Raw genomic sequence first — 24,003 nt, 5'->3', positions numbered from 1 at the left:
CTCCTCCTATCATAGAACCCCTGTTTCTGTAAGGTGGAAACGCACAACCCATGCCCTGTAAGGTAATCTCACAGTCATCTGAGGTTCCATTTACCTAGTCATGTTGCAACCCTCATCTTATCAAACCTTGGACTCCCAATACTGAAATTCCCTTTTTACAAGGGCACTTTTCAGATCCAAAGGAGAAGTCTACGGCAGAAGCTTGTCCGCAGGATTCTGGATACTAGCAATTCCAATCTTGGCATGCAACACTCAGCTCTGAGGAGCAATGATTTACAGCAGCAGAGTCTGGGCAGGAGACCCAGCAGCTCCTGCTACACGTGACGGAGCACAGATCCCCGAGTGAGGGCAAGTGGGGATGAGCTAAGGGAATGAATTGTGAGCTGAGGGCAGACCTCTGCGGATATTGCTAGCCTCTCTCCCTCTGATCATTAGTCATATATTCTGTGGCTTGTGAGTCTTATTTTTCCAGTTCCATTTGTTTTGTTTCATGAACAGGTTAATCATTGCTCTTACTAACAGAGAGAAAGAAAAGCATGATTTAAATTCACTCAAAGGCTGAGAGTAATCATACTAATGCATTAGATCAGATGATGCTTTGGGGCAAGATTGCTATTAGTCTGCCATAACTCATCTGATAGTTCTGTAATAAGCCTTCCTGCCATTATTTATTATTTGTTTTGTAGCATGAAATATACAAAATATAGTTACAGAAATGAAAGTGGTATGTAGAACTTATGCCTAAAATTCTGAAATACATTTGTGTCCTTACTGTCTTCGATTCATGTAATATTTTTGGAGTACCAAGTATGTGCTAGGCACTGGGAGCAAAAGGGAATATGGGAAAGGGAATCAGGTGTTTATTGAACCCATACTCTTGTCAAGGCAGCCTGACAATATCAGATTCCTAGTGGGTCCTGGAAGTCATAGTCTCTGTCCTCAACAGCTTATGATGGTGCGGAGATGGCAGGCACACAGACATGAATAGATACAAATAAAAATCAAAGACAACATACTACCATCAAATACTTTGAGGCTAAGTGAGAGTATGGATTGTAAGTGTGAGCTCCTGTGGTCATGCAAGTCTTTCTTCAGCCCCAGGGCCCTGGACAGCTACAGTCTGGAGGGCTGTCTTTGTAGTCCAGAGCCCTGTTTCTGGAGGAAGGTTCCATGGAGCTCACACTTAACAATCTCAGCATGGGCTTGGAGTCCAGGATAAGGTTCTGGGCCTACCATATACCAGCTGTGAGAATCTGGCAAGCTACTTGACTCCTCTATGCTTTGGTTTCTTCATCTATAGCTTGTACATGAGTTAAATCCAGCTCAGAGGGCGGCGATGAAAATTAAATGAAGATAAAATACTCAGACTAATCACATCATCAGTACACTCTAAGCTCCAGATCTTAGAGTTTTTATTGTTTTGGTGAATGGAGAGAAAGGGGGAGGAACAACATCAGAGGTTTACAGTAGAGGCTGATCTAAGCCATCTGTTACAGGACAAGACTAATTAGCCTGGGGTCATCGCAGCCTCTCCCACTCTCTATCCAGAGTGTGTGGGAGATAGAGAGAAATGGAGGAGGATGGGATTTGCTGCAGCCAATCTCTTGTATTTCCTTTGACATTCTCCCAGAGGATCCAGTAGGGTTTCAATTGCTTTTCCATCATTCTTGCCCTCTAACTGCTCTTTATGTAAATATGGCATGGGCAGAGACTGGCAAGGGGGGGTTCTGGTTATTTCCTCCTAATTGGAAGTGATCTCAGCCACTCTGAACCCTCAGGCCACGTTGTTTGAACTCCCTTAAAAAAAATCTTGATATAGTTTGTACCATAATATGTTTCCTTTTGCAGATGTCATACGTCCCTGATAAATCTCATTAGGATAAAAGCTGGACCTTAACTTGCTTTGAAATCTTGCTTTGCACAGAGTAGCTTGTGATGATTATTGTCAAAATAAAGAGAAGGGTATTTTCTAGGGTTAGAGATAAACCCACTACTGGAAAAAGAAGGCTCCAACCGTAAATAGTGGAAATCTTAAGAATTTTATAATGTCAATCTTGAATGGGATTTTAATTCATTCTAGGAACTGGATGGGAATCTTCAATCTGAAGGGAAGATTTAACTACTTGTTTTTATTTCAGATACTGGCATTGGGCAGGGCTGAGAAGCCTCTGCCAGCCTTGGGCCAGGAGGGGCAGCCGCACTTTTGTTCCCTGCTGAGGTATAGCACTCTATTAAGATGTGCTGGAGTGGGGGCTGTAATGTAATTGGCTTCCCAGTCAGATAGCTGTGACCATCATTTGAAGGCAGGAGAGATATTTTAAAATGAATTTCACTTTCAGCCTAGGATGCCAAGGAGCTTCTTCACTGTACAATATGAGAAAAAAGCAACATATCATCCATATTACAGTTTAGAAAATATCACAGGAAAGGAAGATACACAGATAAATTTTGGATTTATCTTTTCCAGTGGTATCATTGCATAAGACATTCTTATAAGCAAAAATGGAAGTTTACAAGTAGTTTAATATTTAGAGCATTTAATTCACTCCTTCCCATTGCCCCCAGGCTGGGGGGCACGAATGACACAGGAAGGCCAGTCTTCATGGCGTCCCATTGAAAGAAGGACTTCAGGGAAATAAGAGGGACAAGGTACGTTCTATAAACCAAGCAGAGCGTGACCTATTGTTAAATGCCCTTTTGAGGCTGGAGGCTCTTGAACAAGGCTCTTCAACTCTGGATGCACATTCCTGTCATTTTTTTTTCCTGTTTGATTTTTACTTTTTATTGAGATATGACATATATCTGGTAAAGTGCCCTAGTCTTACGTGTAAAGCTTGATGAATTTTACAAGGATTTTTTACAATTTATAAGTAGTTTGTACTTTTATATTATATATAAATATATAATAAATACTGTGTAATATTTTATCAAATGCATATACAACAATTTATTCATTCTACTATTGATGGACATTTGGATTTTCCCATTTTTTGGTTATTATAAATAAAGCTTCTGTGAACAATCTTGCACATGTCATATCCACTCAATTCTAGGAGTGGAACTGCTGAGCCATAAGGAAGGCATATGTTTAGCTTCAGTAAATACCGCCAAACGTTTCTAAAATGTCTATATCAATTTCTATTTCTACCAGCTATGTAGGAGAGTTCCAGTTGCTCTCATATAACTTCTCCAACAGTTGGTATTATCCAATTTTTAAAACGTTAACCTGCAAAGCTTTGATAAGGTACTACTCTTCGAAGTCTTATGAAATTCTTCTGGGGCAGGATCTATTTTTGGAAGCTCTGTGAGTGTCTTTGCTTTCCCAGGCAATGCTAACATGCAGCCAGGGTTGAGAATCATGCCATAGAGAGATGTCCTAATTTGGCTAGTTATTGGAATCAACTGGAGAACTTCAAAAACTATAGGTTCTTGGGTTCTCTTCAGACCTGCCAAATCAGATCCTCCAGGAGAGGTTTTCCCAGAGAATCTGCCTATATAGTATTTCTTTTATAACCCTTTATGTTGCAAGTGATAGAAAATTTATATCCTGGGTTAAATTTTAAAAAGAAAACATTAAAATAATTGATTTATATAACTGAATAGTCCAGATTGAGCCCTGACTCCAGGTACAGTTTGATCCAGGAATCAAATGGTAAGTCTTGATCATAACTCTTAGTGCTTTCTTTCCATCAGGCCCATTCCCTTCATGGCAGCAACATGTCTGCCACAGTTCTCAACCTCAGAACTTCACTCAGCACCACCTAGGTTGCTACCACATTCTGAGCAATCCTCATCTTCTCAACAATTCCTAGTATTTATTGTGTCTCATTGCACTGGGCAACACACTCATCTCTGAACTAATCACTGTGGCCAGAGAAGATGGAAGGTGCTGATTGACTTAAGGCAATCCCTTAGAGCTGAAGACTAGGTCATTTAACCAAAATATGTGACCAAAACGTGTGGATGAATTTCCCAAAGGAAAATCAAATGGATGTTGTCCAGGGACATAAATAATGTCCACATTTACTATGTGACAGTACACTCTGTAGTCATCAAAAACCCATTTTGGAAAGCAACTTACAGCCTTCTGGTCAAGAGAGTTTCTCTAGGGAGTCTGGGCTAAGCCCCACAAGGTTGTCAAGATGTTTGTTTTATTGTCTTCTTTCCCCTTATCTCAACAGTAGAGAAATGGAGGATATTCTTGAGGACAGAAACTAGAAGGTATTTTTGGAGGTGAGGGAGGGTTGGTTTTGAGATGTTCTCAGGGCTAAGTACTGACTCCTGTGTCCAACTCTTAGGCTTCATTCCCCCAGCCTAGAAATAAATTTGCTAAATTGTAGTTAGTTCTTGATTAATAGGTATCCACTCTCTTTTTAAATTATTATTATTATACTTTAAGTTCTAGGGTACATGTGCACAACAAGCAGGTTTGATACATAGGTATACATGTGCCATGTTGGTTTGCTGCACCCATCAACTCATCATTTGCCTTAGGTATTTATCCTAATGCTATCCCTCCCCCAGCCCCCAACCCCTGACAGGCCCTGGTGTGTGATGTTCCCTGCCCTGTGTCCAAGTGGTCTTATTGTTCAATTCCCACCTATGAGTGAGAACATGCAGTGTTTGGTTTTCTGTCCTTGTGATAGTTTGCTGAGAATGATGGTTTCCAGCTTCATCCATGTCCTGCAAAGGACATGAATTCATCCTTTTTTATGACTGCATAGTATTTCATGGTGTATATGTGCCACATTTTCTTAATCCAGTCTATCACTGATGGACATTTGGGTTGGTTCCAAGTCTTTGCTATGGTGAATAGTGCCGCAATAAACATACGTGTGCATGTGTCTTTAGAGTAGCATAATTTATAATCCTTTGGGTTCTACCTAATGGATATATCCCAGTAATGGGTCAAATTACCATTTGATTGCTGGATCCAATGGTAATTCTAGTTCTAGATCCTTGAGGAATCACCACACTATCTTCCACAATGGTTGAACCAATTTACACTCCCACCAACAGCGTAAAAGTGTTCCTGTTTCTCCACATCCTCTCCAGCATCTGTTGTTTCCTGACTTTTTAATGATCGCCATTCTAACTGGTATGAGATGGTATCTCATTGTGGTTTTGATTTGCATTTCCCTGATGACCAGTGATGATGAGCATTTTTTCATATGTCTGTTGGCTACATAATTGTCTTCTTTGGAGAAGTGTCTGTTCATATCCTTTGCCCACTTTTTGATGGGGTTGTTTGTTTTTTTCTTATAAATTTGTTTGAGTTCTTTGTAGATTCTGGATATTAGCCCTTTTTCAGATGGGTAGATTGCAAAAATTTTCTCCCATTCTGTAGGTTTAGGCATCTACTTTCTGAAGCTGTGGAATTGGACTTGCTTCCTTAACAGCTGTCCTTTCATACACATACTCTAGAATAACCTGAACAGGCGGTTGCATGCCTGGCATCTAGTAGATAGAGGAATATACAGAACAGTCCCTACCACAAAGAATTATTCATCTCCAAATGGATAAGTGAGGGTGAGAAATGTGCCTATGAGCAATGGAGCATGTTTCATGGAGCATTAGCTCATGTTGATACTTTCAACCACCTGCTCTGGGTCCTTCTCTCTGTTTTTAAAATATCTTGTTACATAGGTAAGTTTCCAACTCTTTCATACATACTTATATATATATATAGAAATAGTGTGTACACACCCCTACCTAATTTGACATTTGCTGTTACATATTATCACACCAAATCCTGTATTCAAATTACAATGCTGCCCAGAACTGCAGACATTAACCCCACCCCATAAAAGAGCATTTGTTGTGCACTGGTGGCTTCATTCTAGGTTACAGGCTGATTCATATGATTTATAAACAATATACCCATTAGGTAGAATTTTCACAGGAGAGTGTGGTGGTCATGATTTTCTTTTTTCTTCTTTCTTCCTTCCTTCTCTACCCTCAGTTCAGGTGTCCTGGAATAAAATCCAAATAGTGCAGAGAGGTCTATGATATATTGGTTGGTACTATCAGAGAGTAGCACCAGCTGTCAGAAAAGAAAAACAAGGCCAGGTGTGGTGGTGCACCCCTGTAGTCCCAGCTACTTGGGAGGTTGAGGCAGGAGGATCACTTGAGCCTAGAAGTTTGAGGCTGCAGTGAGCTGTGATTGCACCACTGCAGTCCAGGCTGGGAGAGAGTGAGACCCTGTGAAAGAAAGAAAGAAGAAAGAGAAAGAGAGAGAAGAAGAGAAAAGAAACAAAAAGAATGAAAAAAAGAAAAGAAAAAAGAAAGAAAGCCCAACCTTCTTCCAAAAGGTCATGAGAATCTTGAGCACTTATGGTTCTTAGCATGACCGCTTGACCTGCAGAGCCCCTGTTATAGAACTCATTTTTATATTTTCCTTAATATAACAGTTAATATAATAGTGTCATTTTTGTTAGTAGTGTCTTTTTGTCATTTTACTTTTTAAAACATTTTATTGAAATACACATACAGGGAAGTGCATGTGTCATAAGCCTGCAAATTGATGAATTCTAAAATTTTGATTGCACCTGTTTAACACCTAGATTGAGACACTGAACATAACTAACAATGAGAAATCTCCTTGAACTCCCTTCCTGTTACTACCCCTCCTCCTGACCAAATCACTCTCTTCTAACAGCAAAACTTTGTGTGACTAATTTTTTTAATTTAAAAGAATGAAATCATACAGCATGTATTCATTTGCACCTGGTTTCTAGCACCCAACATTATATTTGTGAGATTCATTCGTACAGTTGCATATTAGTTTGCAGATCCCTCACTCTCGTTTCTGTATAATATTATATCGCATAAATATACCATACTTTACCCATCCTACTGTTAAACATTTGTGCAGTTTCCACTTGGGGGCGATTTCAAATAGTGCTGCTATCAACATTCTTGTAAATGTCTTTTGGTGAACATATGCAACACATATATGCATTGTTTTTGGTTCCCAGGAGTGGAATTCCTGAGTCATAAACAATGCATGCGTTCAGGTTTAGTATAGTATAATGCCAAACAGGTTTCCAAAGTGTTTGTGCCACTTTATATACTCACCATTATTGAAAAAGAGTTCTATTTGCTCCACATTGTCACCAATACTTGATATTTTCTGTTTTTTTTTTCTTTTTAACCATACTAGTAGGTGTGTAGTGATATTACAATGTGGTTTTAATTTGCATCTTCCTTATGACAAATTAACCTTAATTTGATTACTGTAAGGCACTTGGAAATGTGATTTAAATTCATATAAAGATACAGTAGTGATTATTCCGGGGAGGAGCCAAGATGGCCGAATAGGAACAGCTCCGGTCTACAGCTCCCAGCGTGAGCGACGCAGAAGACGGGTGATTTCTGCATTTCCATCTGAGGTACCAGGTGCATCTCACTAGGGAGTGCCAGACAGTGGGCGCAGGCCAGTGTGTGTGCGCACCGTGCGCGAGCCGAAGCAGGGCGAGGCATTGCCTGCCCTGGGAAGCGCAAGGGGTCAGGGAGTTCCCTTTCCGAGTCAAAGAAAGGGGTGACGGACGCACCTGGAAAATCGGGTCACTCCCACCCGAATATTGCGCTTTTCAGACCGGCTTAAAAAACGGCGCACCACGAGACTATATCCCACACCTGGCTCAGAGGGTCCTACGCCCACGGAATCTCACTGATTGCTAGCACAGCAGTCTGAGATCAAACTGCAAGGCGGCAACGAGGCTGGGGGAGGGGCGCCCGCCATTGCCCAGGCTTGCTTAGGTAAACAAAGCAGCCGGGAAGCTCGAACTGGATGGAGCCCACCACAGCTCAAGGAGGCCTGCCTGCCTCTGTAGGCTCCACCTCTGGGGGCAGGGCACAGACAAACAAAAAGACAGCAGTAACCTCTGCACACTTAAGTGTCCCTGTCTGACAGCTTTGAAGAGAGCAGTGGTTCTCCCAGCACGCAGCTGGAGATCTGAGAACGGGCAGACTGCCTCCTTAAGTGGGTCCCTGACCCCTGACCCCTGAGCAGCCTAACTGGGAGGCACCCCCCAGCAGGGGCACACTGACACCTCACACAGCAGGGTATTCCAACAGACCTGCAGCTGAGGGTCCTGTCTGTTAGAAGGAAAACTAACAACCAGAAAGGACATCTACACCGAAAACCCATCTGTACATCACCATCATCAAAGACCAAAAGTAGATAAAACCACAAAGATGGGGAAAAAACAGAACAGAAAAACTAGAAACTCTAAAACGCAAAGCACCTCTCCTCCTCCAAAGGAACGCAGTTCCTCACCAGCAACGGAACAAAGCTGGATGGAGAATGATTTTGACGAGCTGAGAGAAGAAGGCTTCAGACGATCAAATTACTCTGAGCTACGGGAGGACATTCAAACCAAAGGCAAAGAAGTTGAAAACTTTGAAAAAAATTTAGAAGAATGTATAACTAGAATAACCAATACAGAGAAGTGCTTAAAGGAGCTGATGGAGCTGAAAACCAAGGCTCGAGAACTACGTGAAGAATGCAGAAGCCTCAGGAGCCGATGCGATCAACTGGAAGAAAGGGTATCAGCAATGGAAGATGAAATGAATGAAATGAAGCGAGAAGGGAAGTTTAGAGAAAAAAGAATAAAAAGAAATGAGCAAAGCCTCCAAGAAATATGGGACTATGTGAAAAGACCAAATCTACGTCTGATTGGTGTACTTGAAAGTGATGTGGAGAATGGAACCAAGTTGGAAAACACTCTGCAGGATATTATCCAGGAGAACTTCCCCAATCTAGCAAGGCAGGCCAATGTTCAGATTCAGGAAATACAGAGAACACCACAAAGATACTCCTCGAGAAGAGCAATTCCAAGACACATAATTGTCAGATTCACCAAAGTTGAAATGAAGGAAAAAATGTTAAGGGCAGCCAGAGAGAAAGGTCGGGTTACCCTCAAAGGAAAGCCCATCAGACTAACAGCGGATCTCTCGGCAGAAACCCTACAAGCCAGAAGAGAGTGGGGACCAATATCCAACATTCTTAAAGAAAAGAATTTTCAACCCAGAATTTCATATCCAGCCAAACTAAGCTTCATAAGTGAAGGAGAAATAAAATACTTTATAGACAAGCAAATGCTGAGAGATTTTGTCACCACCAGGCCTGCCCTAAAAGAGCTCCTGAAGGAAGCGCTAAACATAGAAAGGAACAACCGGTACCAGCCGCTGCAAAATCATGCCAAAATGTAAAGACCATCGAGACTAGGAAGAAACTGCATCAACTAACGAGCAAAATCACCAGCTAACATCATAATGACAGGATCAAATTCACACATAACAATATTAACTTTAAATATAAATGGACTAAATTCTGCAATTAAAAGACACAGACTGGCAAGTTGGATAAAGAGTCAAGACCCATCAGTGTGCTGTATTCAGGAAACACATCTCACGTGCAGAGACACACATAGGCTCAAAATAAAAGGATGGAGGAAGATCTACCAAGCCAATGGAAAACAAAAAAAGGCAGGGGTTGCAATCCTAGTCTCTGATAAAACAGACTTTAAACCAACAAAGATCAAAAGAGACAAAGAAGGCCATTACATAATGGTAAAGGGATCAATTCAACAAGAGGAGCTAACTATCCTAAATATTTATGCACCCAATACAGGAGCACCCAGATTCATAAAGCAAGTCCTGAGTGACCTACAAAGAGACTTAGGCTCCCACACATTAATAATGGGAGACTTTAACACCCCACTGTCAACATTAGACAGATCAACGAGACAGAAAGTCAACAAGGATACCCAGGAATTGAACTCAGCTCTGCACCAAGCGGACCTAATAGACATCTACAGAACTCTCCACCCCAAATCAACAGAATATACATTTTTTTCAGCACCACACCACACCTATTCCAAAATTGACCACATAGTTGGAAGTAAAGCTCTCCTCAGCAAATGTAAAAGAACAGAAATTATAACAAACTATCTCTCAGACCACAGTGCAATCAAACTAGAACTCAGGATTAAGAATCTCACTCAAAGCCGCTCAACTACATGGAAACTGAACAACCTGCTCCTGAATGACTACTGGGTACATAACGAAATGAAGGCAGAAATAAAGATGTTCTTTGAAACCAACGAGAACAAAAACACCACATACCAGAATCTCTGGGACGCATTCAAAGCAGTGTGTAGAGGGAAATTTATAGCACTAAATGCCTACAAGAGAAAGCAGGAAAGATCCAAAATTGACACCCTAACATCACAATTAAAAGAACTAGAAAAGCAAGAGCAAACACATTCAAAAGCTAGCAGAAGGCAAGAAATAACTAAAATCAGAGCAGAACTGAAGGAAATAGAGACACAAAAAACCCTTCAAAAAATCAATGAATCCAGGAGCTGGTTTTTTGAAAGGATCAACAAAATTGATAGACCGCTAGCAAGACTAATAAAGAAAAAAAGAGAGAAGAATCAAATAGACACAATAAAAAATGATAAAGGGGATATCACCACCGATCCCACAGAAATACAAACTACCATCAGAGAATACTACAAACACCTCTACGCAAATAAACTAGAAAATCTAGAAGAAATGGATACATTCCTCGACACATACACTCTCCCAAGACTAAACCAGGAAGAAGTTGAATCTCTGAATAGACCAATAACAGGCTCTGAAATTGTGGCAATAATCAATAGTTTACCAACCAAAAAGAGTCCAGGATCAGATGGATTCACAGCCGAATTCTACCAGAGGTACAAGGAGGAACTGGTACCATTCCTTCTGAAACTATTCCAATCAATAGAAAAAGAGGGAATCCTCCCTAACTCATTTCATGAGGCCAGCATCATCTTGATACCAAAGCCTGGCAGAGACACAACCAAAAAAGAGAATTTTAGACCAATATCCTTGATGAACATTGATGCAAAAATCCTCAATAAAATACTGGCAAACCGAATCCAGCAGCACATCAAAAAGCTTATCCACCATGATCAAGTGGGCTTCATCCCTGGGATGCAAGGCTGGTTCAATATACGCAAATCAATAAATGTAATCCAGCATATAAACAGAGCCAAAGACAAAAACCACATGATTATCTCAATAGATGCAGAAAAAGCCTTTGACAAAATTCAACAACCCTTCATGCTAAAAACTCTCAATAAATTAGGTATTGATGGGACGTATTTCAAAATAATAAGAGCTATCTATGACAAACCCACAGCCAATATCATACTGAATGGGCAAAAACTGGAAGCATTCCCTTTGAAAACTGGCACAAGACAGGGATGCTCTCTCTCACCACTCCTATTCAACATAGTGTTGGAAGTTCTGGCCAGGGCAATCAGGCAGGAGAAGGAAATAAAGGGTATTCAATTAGGAAAAGAGGAAGTCAAATTGTCCCTGTTTGCAGACGACATGATTGTTTATCTAGAAAACCCCATTGTCTCAGCCCAAAATCTCCTTAAGCTGATAAGCAACTTCAGCAAAGTCTCAGGATACAAAATCAATGTACAAAAATCACAAGCATTCTTATACACCAACAACAGACAAACAGAGAGCCAAATCATGAGTGAACTCCCATTCACAATTGCTTCAAAGAGAATAAAATACCTAGGAATCCAACTTACAAGGGATGTGAAGGACCTCTTCAAGGAGAACTACAAACCACTGCTCAAAGAAATAAAAGAGGACACAAACAAATGGAAGAACATTCCATGCTCATAGGTAGGAAGAATCAATATCGTGAAAATGGCCATACTGCCCAAGGTAATTTACAGATTCAATGCCATCCCCATCAAGCTACCAATGACTTTCTTCACAGAATTGGAAAAAACTACTTTAAAGTTCATATGGAACCAAAAAAGAGCCCGCATCGCCAAGTCAATCCTAAGCCAAAAGAACAAAGCTGGAGGCATCACACTACCTGACTTCAAACTATACTACAAGGCTACAGTAACCAAAACAGCATGGTACTGGTACCAAAACAGAGATATAGATCAATGGAACAGAACAGAGCCCTCAGAAATAATGCCGCATATCTACAACTATCTGATCTTTGACAAACCTGAGAAAAACAAGCAATGGGGAAAGGATTCCCTATTTAATAAATGGTGCTGGGAAAACTGGCTAGCCATATGTAGAAAGCTGAAACTGGATCCCTTCCTTACACCTTATACAAAAATCAATTCAAGATGGATTAAAGATTTAAACGTTAGACCTAAAACCATAAAAACCCTAGAAGAAAACCTAGGCATTACCATTCAGGACATAGGCGTGGGCAAGGACTTCATGTCCAAAACACCAAAAGCAATGGCAACAAAAGCCAAAATTGACAAATGGGATCTAATTAAAGTAAAGAGCTTCTGCACAGCAAAAGAAACTACCATCAGAGTGAACAGGCAACCTACAACATGGGAGAAAATTTTCGCAACCTACTCATCTGACAAAGGGCTAATATCCAGAATCTACAATGAACTCAAACAAATTTACAAGAAAAAAACAAACAACCCCATCAAAAAGTGGGCGAAGGACATGAACAGACACTTCTCAAAAGAAGACATTTATGCAGCCAAAAAACACATGAAAAAATGCTCATCATCACTGGCCATCAGAGAAATGCAAATCAAAACCACTATGAGATATCATCTCACACCAGTTAGAATGGCAATCATTAAAAAGTCAGGAAACAACAGGTGCTGGAGAGGATGTGGAGAAATAGGAACACTTTTACACTGTTGGTGGGACTGTAAACTAGTTCAACCATTGTGGAAGTCAGTGTGGCGATTCCTCAGGGATCTAGAACTAGAAATACCATTTGACCCAGCCATCCCATTACTGGGTATATACCCAAAGGACTATAAATCATGCTGCTATAAAGACACATGCACACGTATGTTTATTGCGGCACTACTCACAATAGCAAAGACTTGGAACCAACCCAAATGTCCAACAATGATAGACTAGATTAAGAAAATGTGGCACATATACACCATGGAATACTATGCAGCCATAAAAAATGATGAGTTCATGTCCTTTGTAGGGACATGGGTGAAATTGGAAACCATCATTCTCAGTAAACTATTGCAAGAACAAAAAACCAAACACCGCATATTCTCACTCATAGGTGGGAATTGAACAATGAGATCACATGGACACAGGAAGGGGAATATCACACTCTGGGGACTGTGGTGGGGTTGGGGGAGGGGGGAGGGATAGCATTGGGAGATATACCTAATGCTAGATGACACGTTAGTGGGTGCAGCGCACCAGCATGGCACATGTATACATATGTAACTAACCTGCACAATGTGCACATGTACCCTAAAACTTAAAATATAATTAAAAAAAACAAAACAAAAAAAAAAAGATACAGTAGTAAAACACATATGTTACTTTCATATTTGGAAAGTTTATATAGCATGATTTCTATGTAAGCTTTTATAGTGTAGTCTGAGTCCGTAAATATTGATTACAAAAAACACATCTGTAGATGAGTTACAATACCTCACGTATAATTCCCCATTCGTGTTATATTAGCTCAATATTTTTCAAATATATTTTTGCATACAATTTTCACCTTCTTTTTGAGTAGTCTCAGATATTTTATATGGTTCCAACACAGTGAGTTAGGTTGCCATTGTTTGGAAGCACACATCCACGTATCTGCACCATGATGATATGACATGCCCATACCCCCCATTTCGTATTTTGTCAGAAGTGCATAGCTATCACTGACAAACTTCACCAGTAGAAATTTACTCCCAATTTCAAATGGACTTGTCTTGAATAATCTCTCCACTGAAGCATAACAGGTTTTGAATTCAGTTAGAATAGTTGTTTTTACTATCTTTTAATTTTATAAAAATTTCAAAGTTACTTAATACTTTTATTTAAAAAGTGAAACAAAGCTTTTCCTCTCCCTTACCCACTTTATAGCCCAGCAGAGGGGAAAAGCATTGGCCCCAGGCCAAAATCATAAAAGCTTCCAATTAACTAATAATAATTGCTGGCATGTTGCCATTTAAATATCCTTGTGTCTCGTTATCTCTGGTTGCTTTATCAAACCCATAGGTCACTAAAGCCCACTTTTGAGACAAAGACTATTTCTCCCCCAAAAGTCAAGGGAAATATAAAAAATGAAATTAGTGATTAAGGATAGAAGTTAATTAATACAATTATTTTGGCTTAATTATTTAAAGTCCAGTTTTTTTCCTCCAGCAAACCTGAAAATACACTATCCTCCAGCTATCAGAATTATATTGAGATTTATCATTTTTCATTGATGAATTTATAGCTCTCACATATACAAAGGGAAGAAATAGAAAATCTTGAAGGTAATCCACACAAAAATGGTTATGTGCTGACACGTATACATCAATTTTCACATACACATACCTCTGTACTTTTTTAAAAAGGCAGCTTCTTTCATGTTAATGTAATTTTTGTTTCCAGCTAAGCAATCTTAATAATTCTTTCAGAGACATCATTGCCTAATGAGCAATCTTTCTTAATTGTATAATCTTTGATCGCCATTTCAAAAGCCATTTTATCCATTTTAAGTGTACAATTCAGTGACATTACATTCACAATGTTGTACAGCCACTACCACCATCCATTTCCAGAACTTTTTCATCTTCCTAAACTGAAACGCTGTACCTAGTAACAATAACTTCTCATTACCCACCCTCCCGCTACCCGTGGCAACTAGCATTCTATTTCCTGGCTCTATGAAAATGAATTTGTCTAACCTATGTACCACACGTCTGTGAAATCATACAGTATTTGTCCTTTGGTGTCTGGCTTAATTCACTTAGCATAATGTCTTCAAGGTTCATCTACGTTGTAGTATGTGTCAGAATTTCCTTTCCTTTTAAGGCTGAATAATTTTTCATTGTATAAATATACCATGTTTTGTTTATCCATTCATCTGTTACTAGACATTTGGGTTGCTTCCATGTTTTGGCTGTTGTGAATAATGCTGCTGTGAACATGGGTATACAAGTATCTCTTCAAGGCTCTGCTTTCCCTTTTTTTGGCTACATACCCAGAAATGGAATAGTTGGATTGTGTGGTAATACCATGGCTAATTTTTTGAGGAGCTGCCCTACTGTTTTTCTCAACAATGGCACTGTTTTACATTCCTACCAGCAATGCACAAGGCAAATATTAAATTTTAAACCCATCAATTCTGAATAGCTTTTATACAAATTGTATAAACTTCAGGACCAGCATTTATCTATTTTTCTATGTCTATCTATCTATCTATCTATCTATCTATCTATCTATCTATCTATCATCTATCTGTCTACCTACCTACCTATCCATTTCCAGAGATACTTAGAATGAAAACTATAATTTGCAATTGGTGAAAATGCCCTGAATCAGGAGGCAGTTGTGATTGGCACGTACCTAATTGGTCCCTCTTTTGCTGTGAGTCTCTTATTCTTCTAAGCAGCCATGTATTCTAGAGAAAGTCCCCAAACAGAACTGCCCAAAATGGCCCTCTATTTGTAAGTTACTCATTTTTTATAATCTAGTTGGATTCTCCTGTTTTTCGTCCTCTTGCTGTCCCCGGATTAATTTTGTCTTTAGTCTTTTAGTACTTTTGCCAACACCCCCTCCAAGAATTTATCCTCTGGCTTTCCTTGTACTCAGACATTTTCACACCCTGGGAGGTAAGTTGCTTTCTAAGGACCTTCCAGAAAATGATGAGCATTTGATTAGGATTTGTTAGTGATAATTGTTGTGGCCAGTTGAAAGACAAGAGGTTTTTTAATACCTCAAATAACTGGGCTGACAGACTTGATCATGTTTGGTTTGGAGAACTGACCATTTTGTCACTTGGAGTGAGGAAGAGGAGGTGGAAGAGGTGGGGGTAGTTCAGGGGTTCATTCTCATTGTGGATGGGGCTCTCTAGAGTTGAGCCCTCATGTTTATTTGAATTGATGCTATAGTAGGAGTTTCCTGTGGGTCCTTCCCTAGCTTCCCCCATGCCTTCTGACAGATTCCTCTTCCTAAGAAGGCTGTGGCAAGAACTGGGAGTTGGAGTCAGAACTGATGTGATTTCCTTCTGTCCTCACTGCCACCTCCTCCTGAGCCTCCTGCACTGGATCCCCTTCCCCACAGCTTCTCAAGGTTGGAGGGCCCTGGAATTCTGTCCCAAGACCTCTTCTATGGTCTAGCTGACCTCATTTCCCAGGTAATTTCTACCAGTCCCATGCATTAAATAAACCTGTATGCTAATAACTCCCAAATGTATGTCTCCTGTCTTCTTTTTCTGATTCTAAATTTGTTGATCCAACTGCCTACACACTATCTCAAATCGGATGCTTGAGAAGAATGTTAGAGTCAATATGTCTAAAATCAAACTTTTGATTCTTTTCTACCTAAGTAAATGTTTACCTTTTCCTCTCTTTCTAGCTCAGTAAATGGCTCCACCATTTATCTAGTACCTCAGGCCAAAATTCTTATTGTCATCTTGGATTCCTTTTTTTCCACTCTTATGTCTAATTCAATCTGCAAGTCCTGTCACTTTTACCTTCAAAATACAGCCTAAAGCCTCAACCATTTCTCACCTCCTTCACTGCTAACAACCTTCCCATGTCACTATCAGATCTTTCCTGGATTCCTGCACTGGTCCCATAAATGGTTGCAGGGCTTCCTCACTGGGTCCTTTGTAGTCTCATCTCCACAGGCTTTCCAGGATTTGAGAATATTAATCCAGTCAAATCACCCCTGTCCTCATCTCTCTAAGGGCTTCTCATTTTATTCCCAGAAAAAAACCTGAAGTCTTTGTCATGACCTGCAGGTCACGTAAGGCCCTCTGGACCTGTTCCTGGCAGCCACTCTTGTCTCACCTCCTACACTTCTTTGTCCCAGTCCCTCTACTGTATCCATGCTGGACCTCTGGATGTTCCTCACATACACCCAGCATTCCCATCCCACATTCCTGAAACTTGCTTTCCCCTAATACTGTATCACGCTTCCCACAGTTTGCATGTGCCTCATTCCCTCACTTTATTTGGGTCTCTGCTCATATGCCACTCTCTGAGAGGTCGCCTCTCACTCCTTGTGTCAAATCTCACCCTTCTAACAATATAGTAAGTTGTATCAAATGAAATTGCCATTTAAGGCCAGGCTCGGTGGCTCATGACTGTAATCCCAGCAGTTTGGGAGCCCGAGGCAGGTGGATCACCTGAGGTCAGGCGTTCGAGACCAGCCTGACCAATATGGTAAAACCCCGTCTCTACTAAAAATACAAAAATTAGCTGGGCATGGTGGTGGGTGCCTATAATCCCAGCTACTTGGGAGGCTGAGGCAGGAGAATCATTTGAACCAGGAGGCGGAGGTTGCAGTGAGCCAAGATTGTACCATTGCCCTCCAGCCTGGGTGACAAGAGTAAAACTCCATCTCAAAAAAAAAAAAAAAAAAAGAAAAAAGAAATTGCCATTTAAAAAAAAATAGAGATGAGGTCTCTCTATGTTGCCCAGGCTGGTCTTGAACTCCTGGGCTCAAGCAGTCCTCCCACCTCAGCCTTCTGAACTGCTGAGATTACAGGCGTGAACTATGGCGCCTGGCCTGAAATTGCCATTTTTGTAGGTAAAAAAAGGGTAAATATTGTCAATTTCAATTGGTTCAACACACACATATCATGTTATTGTGCTTACCACTGCCTGTCATACTTCCTATATGTATTGGTTTGTTGCTTATTTATTGGTTTATTGTCTGTCTCCTCCACTACAGTATAAGCAGCTTGGGTTGTTCACTTCTAGAGAGCTCCTGGAACAAAGAGACATTCACAGATTATCTGCCGTAAACTTCTTCCATTTATTGCCCAGTCCTTTGACAAATTAAACTCATTAAATTGCTCTCTGCTAGTCACACTGGTATTTTTGAAGCCAAACTCTTTTACTTCTTATCAAGATTCATACTCTTTTGTTCTCGGGATTTCATTTTGGAGATCCTCCCATCCCTCTCATTCTGTCTTCTCTTTCAGATTATTTGATTATGGGATCAAACTGTAATTTCCTCTGACCTTCTGAGAACTGTGTACCCATTTAGAACCCACATCAGAGCCTTTCCAGAAAGGTTTTCATTGGGCATTTTAATCCCTGCTGTGAAAGACATTCTCTGACTCACTAGCTCCAGAGACTCCAGTACTTCTGCTTCAACAATCCAGTTCTTCCTGGTAGGTCAGAATTAAATCTAAGAGAGAAGTTCCTTTTGTTTCTTCCTCTTCCTTCTGCAAAATAAAATGATTAGTAAGACAAGGTCAAAAATGCATGTTCTGCTTTTAGAGAAATTAGATTTCCAGCAGAAATGCAGAGAGCTAAGTTCCCATTACATCTTTGACTTGCAAATATGTCAATTTTGTGATTTTTAAAAATGTGCGCCCCATGTTTATTGCAGTGCTGTTCACAATAGCCAAGACATGGAATCAACCCAAGTATTCATCAACAGACAAATGGATAAAAGAGAATGTGGTATATATACAAAATGGAATACCATTCGGCCATTAAAAAGAATGAAATCCTGTCATTCACAGCAATACGGATGGAACTGGAGGACATTATGTTAAGTGAAATAAGCCAGGCACGGAAAGTTAAACACCTCATGTTCTTACTCATATGTAGAAATTTTAAAAAGTTTACTCAGATATGAAAAGCAGAACAGAGGTTACTAGAGGCTGGGAGGGGTAGGGGAAAGGCAGGATAGGGAGACATTTGTTAAAGGACACAAAATTACAGCTAGATAGGAGGAACAAATTCTAGTGTTTTATAGCACCACAGGATGACTAGAGTTAACAATGTATTATATACCTTATTTTTTTTTATTTTTATTTTTGAGACAGAGTCTTGCTCTGTTGCCCAGGCTGCAGTGCCATGGTGCACTCTCAGCTCACTGCAACCTCTGCCACCTGGATTCAAGCGATTCTCCTGCCTCACCTTCCCAAGTGGCTGGGCTTACAGGTGCGTGCCACCACATCCAGCTAATTTTTGTATTTTTAGTAGAGACAGGGTTTCAGCATCTTGGCCAGGCTGGTCTTGAACTCCTGACCTCATGATCCACCCACCTCGGCCCCCCAAAGTGCTGGGATTACAGGCATGATCTGGCTATATACTTTCAAATAGCTAGTAGAGACGGAACTGAATGTTCCCAAGAGAAAGAAGCAATAAATGTTTGAGATGATGGATATGTCCTCATCTGATCACTACACATTGTATGTATCGAAACATCAGTATGTACCCCCTAAATATGTATAATTATTATGTGTCAATTGAAAATAATTTTTAAAGAATCAGTATAATACCATCATAGAGTTTTAAAAACAGGAAAAACTCTGGCTATATACTTTCAAATAGCTAGCAGAGACAGAACTGAATGTTCCCAAGAGAAAGAAGCAATAAATGTTTGAGATGATGGATATGTCCTCATCTGATCACTACACATAGTATGTATTGAAACATCAGTATGTATCCCCTAAATCTGTATAATTATTATGTGTCAATTGGAAATAATTTTTAAAGAATCAGTATAATACCATCATAGAGTTTTAAAAACAGGAAAAAAAATTGTCCATCATTTCCCTTTCACCCTAGCACAATTTCTATCATTTCTGTATTTTTCTACATAAATGTAGAATTTTGCAGTTGAAAATAGTATAGCATACAATTTTGTATCTTGTTGTATTCACTTATCATCATAAGGTTTTCTTCATGTTACCACATGGGTTCCTAACTACGCAATGGCTGCAGAATATTCTGTCAAGTGGTTGGACCCTAATTTGATAAACTAGTCCCCTAAAGTTATTGTTTCTCATTTTTGATCACTATAGCGTTCCTTTTTGCATTTGGCTTTTTTCCTGCCTTTGGATTATTTTATTAGGATAAAGTCCCAGACCTGAGATTATTGAGTTCAAAGATAGAAACATAGAGCGGACAAGGCTCCTAACACTGGGTGGCAGGCTGCTTCCCACAAACTGAACTCTATGCCTACTGCACCACTATTCACAATAGCCAAGATATACAATCAATCACAGTGTCCATCAACAGATGAATGGATAAGAAAATGTGGTACATAGATGCAATGGGGTACTCTTTATCAATTACAAAGAAAAGTTCTGTTATTCGTGGCAGCACGGGTGGAGCTGGAGGACACTGTGTTAAGTGGAATAACACCACGACAGTGACCAGAAGTGAGCCCAGGCTCATCCTCTTCACAGCTCCTTCCCCGACACAGCTCAGCTGCCTCACTTCTGTTATCAGCTCCTCACAGGGCAGCCCAAGTGAGCGGTTTTTGACTCTGTCCTATCCTGAAGTGGCCACAGGGACAGTGCCTGGCATCTGCCATGGACCATCAAGAGGCAATGAAGAAGTGGTCAGGGCAGAGGTAGAACCACTCATCCATGAGGGCCATGGCCAGCAGCAGCCTGGCCGCCAGGGGCACCTCTCGGCAGGTGAGGCCTCTCCTGCTGTCCTGGGGCTTCTGTTCCATGTTGATTTCCTCTGTAATTTCCTTCCAGGTGCCCCTTCTCCCAGCTAAGGTCTCCACCCAGGTACCTGGTCAGTCTGTGCTCTGGTTGGCCCCCAGGGACTGGTTTGGAAGCATCCTGGGATTCTGCAACAGTTTTCCATGCAGACTCCCACTTCTTCCTCTTTTCCAATCTACTCTCCACACAGCAAACATGATTGTTTTTCTGCTGCCTCACAGCCTATAGCCACGCTGGCTCTGCACCCACCTGCTGCTCCAGGCCTGCATGCACCCTCTGTGATCTTTCTAGGAATATGTTAATCAGAGTTCCATCTTACTTGGCTGATGCTACTTCTGTCATGTCAGGTCTTTCAAAGCCATTTGACAGTGGATAGAATGTTTATCACCAATATGACAATGCTTAAGGCTTTCCCCAAGGAATGCACGCAAAGAACATAACTTTGAGTTCCTAATTATACTTGATTTAAAGTGTTGTTTGAGTGCCAGGCTGCAAATTGGGGGAAGAGTAGGAATTTAGGGCCTGGATTTGGAGTCAGACATATTCATTTTTTAATCCTACTTCTCCTGTGTGTTATTAGTCAGAAAAACAGAAATCAAGCCAGTAATTTCACAGAAAAGACCTTCATAGAGGGAATTGGTTAAATTGGTATTGGAGACAAAAAGGGGACCATGGGCCACCAAAGAGATCATAACTTCAGGAAGCAGCTACTGCCCCTAGGGTGTTGGAATAACTAAGTTCTTCTTCAAAGACTCAACTTCCTGGTCATAATTTACAAGGTTGTAAATCCCTACCCTCTTCTTCTCTTGCCTCCTTTTTTTTCCTCCTTTTCCTGCAAATTGTGCATTTACCCTGTTTGGAAAAGTTCAAGTCTTAGCCAATCATGATCAGCTTACATTGTGCGGTCCAGCCCCAGCCAATAGGGGGAAGGACACAGAAACAGGAACTGCTTTAGGGATACAAATCCCTTCTCTCCTTTGTTCGGTGTGCTCTTGCAATTGTGATGGATGTAAGCAGCACCCTTCTGCAGAAGTAAAGTTGCCTTGCTGAGAAACTCTGAGTGCTGGTTCTTCTTTGTGGTGCCGAGCACTTGTTTCCAACAAAGGCAAGGGGAAAGAGAAGAGGATGAAGTTATTAGAACCTAGAGGCTTGGAGTAGAAACCCTTCATAATTGGGACCTGGATTTCTGGGGAGTAGGTGCCAGTGGACTGGTGCTGGTATTTCTGAGGAGTTCATTCCAGGAGGGTAGAAAATGATTGCTGATTGGATAAAGAAAATGTAGTACATATACACAATGGAATACTATGCCGCCTTAAAAAATAATGAGATCACATCTTTTGCAGGAACATGGATGGATTAATTTCCTTAGGAAACTAATGCAGTAATACAAAACCAAATACCACATGTTCTCCCTTATAAGTGGGAGCTAAATGATGAGTACTCATGGACACAAAGAAGAGAACAACAGATACTGGGGCTTCCTTGAGGGTAGAAGGTGGGAGGATGGAGAAGAGCAGATAAAGGAACTATTGCATACTAGGTTTAGTACCTGGATAATGAAATAATCTGTACAACAAGCCCTCTAACATGAGTTTACCTATATAACAAACCTGCACATGTACCCTCAAACATAAAAGTTTAAAAAGAAAGAAAACGGCTGTTGCTGAGGTGAAAAACCATTATTGAGATGATGCAGGCAGAAACAGGAGGCAAATAGGAGGGAGCAAGTCTCCTCTCCCTCATCCAGCCTCACTGTCCTTCTGGCATGCCAACAAAACACCAGCCAGCTGACCATACAGAAATGTGGTTTGCAGAATCCCCACCTCGGCATCACAAAGCAGAGTACAAAAGGGCAGGTTTGAAACGGAAAGAAAATGGCTTAATAACCAGTACAATGACCTTAGGTAAATTACATAGCCTCACTAAGCTTCAATTCCTATACCTGTATAAGGGGGAGAAATACCTTGTCTCAAGGTTATTGTAAGGATTAAGTGAGATAATGGATACAGATTGCTCAATAAGAACATTGAAAGTAGCTGTAGATCTATGTCCCTGATACACCATCTTTAGCCTCAACATGGCAGCCAGAGGGGGACAAGGATAGGGAGAAAGATGGAAAGAGGAGAGAAGAGCAAGTAGGAGAAGGAGGAGGGAAGAATGGAAAGAGTGCAAGAGGTATTTGGGAACACCATCAGAGAGAAGGGCAAAAGCCCTGTGGACCAGTCCTGTCTCTTTGGGAAGGCTTTTCCCATTTTGAACAAATTATATGCTCTGGGTGCTTTTAATGACTTCTGGGGTTGTTGTGATTTCTGCAAAATCAAGAGAACTAATAAGAGTAGCTGGAGGTATGTGATCATTTTCTAAAAAATTGAAGGCTCAGTAGTTTGGCAAAAGATGACAGCAGGAGGTCTTAATGAGTTAGACCAGAAATTAATCTTGTCTTGTTTCTCCTTTAACTGTTTTTTCCCCCTGTGTCTTTGGCTGATTCTAGCAGCTGTTCAATTGTGTAATTAAGTCACTTCTAAGAGATCCGAGAAGCTGGGTCAGTACTATATGTTCTAGTGATCACTGGCTATCAAGATAAAGCTTGAATTGATATTTTGAGCAGTTATAAAACTCATGCTGCCCCATTTTCATGGAAACTGGCAACTGAAAATGCTAATGGTATTCAGAACCCTACTGCCATCAACAACTCCAAGGAGGGATAAAATCCAGAGCTAGCCTGATGCCTCCAACAATATTTCTCAAACAGTAATTAGTCATTAGGAAAAAAACATAAAGCAAGAAATGCACATTAAAATGATGTATAACATAACCACATTTAAGAATGTATTCCAATACCAAATGTCAAATTTCAACAATGCAAAAACCACAATTACATTTGCATCAGCCTAATAGCTAGGAATGAGAAAAACAGACAGGATAAAATATAGTCTAAGAAATGGAAAATGTTACTGTTCACTCTATTCCACCTGCACAGGAAGAATCTTCACATCCCACTTGGAGGTGTGCCCCTTTGCCTTTATCCTTATTTCCTTCCTGGAGATTGTACATAAATTCCTTATAAATGAAAAAGAGTCACTTTCTGAAAGTGTAAATTGAAATGTGCTGGCTGTATAAACTTATCAAATTAGTTTTGCTGTTGGAGGAAATCTTAATTAAAAGGCTGCTTTGAAATAAGGAAGTGTAATAAAACATTTTTCATTTTGTTTGCTTTCACGCCAGCCACATTCACTTTTATGATTTAATTTTTATTTTTCTTATTTAATGGATGACATTAGATTTGTCTTCCCAGCAGGTTCATTTTCAAAAAGTTAATGAAGTCAAGCTAAGCATATATGGTAGATCATTAGGGTTTCTGCTTACAACCACCAATATCCCATAGTCTTTGATTCCACTTTCTGTTTGGGGACACGATGGGATTTATCAGAAAAATGAATTCCTCTGTCTAAATACAGAGGACATAGCCACGTCCTCTGATTCATGTATTACGAAATCACTTGGGAACTATCAGAATTACAGAGGAAACAGCACCCCGTCCA

At 40.4% G+C, this 24,003-nt stretch overlaps 1 long non-coding RNA gene across 1 annotated transcript in view, besides 1 other annotated feature; it reads right to left on the bottom strand.

The window, feature by feature from the left end:
* The window catches only part of LOC101927598 (uncharacterized), a 59,204-nt gene that overhangs the window by 17,093 nt on the left and 18,108 nt on the right, over positions 1-24,003 (bottom strand). The window contains exon 2 of the long non-coding RNA XR_002957605.2: positions 18,112-18,214. This is a non-coding gene — a long non-coding RNA (uncharacterized LOC101927598). The remainder of the gene's footprint in view (positions 1-18,111; positions 18,215-24,003) is intronic.
* Positions 14,966-15,135: an enhancer, noted in NCBI's record as "experimental_34233 CRE fragment used in MPRA reporter constructs". NCBI's record gives its function as "activates a minimal promoter by MPRAs in K562 erythroleukemia cells, with activity observed for the introgressed 14:52259595 variant allele {active_cell/tissue: K562}" and the evidence as "EXISTENCE:reporter gene assay evidence [ECO:0000049][PMID:34662402]".

This window comes from Homo sapiens, chromosome 14 (genome assembly GCF_000001405.40).
Source record: "Homo sapiens chromosome 14, GRCh38.p14 Primary Assembly".
NCBI lineage: Eukaryota > Metazoa > Chordata > Mammalia > Primates > Hominidae > Homo > Homo sapiens.
This window is presented reverse-complemented; position numbering and strand designations above follow the sequence as displayed.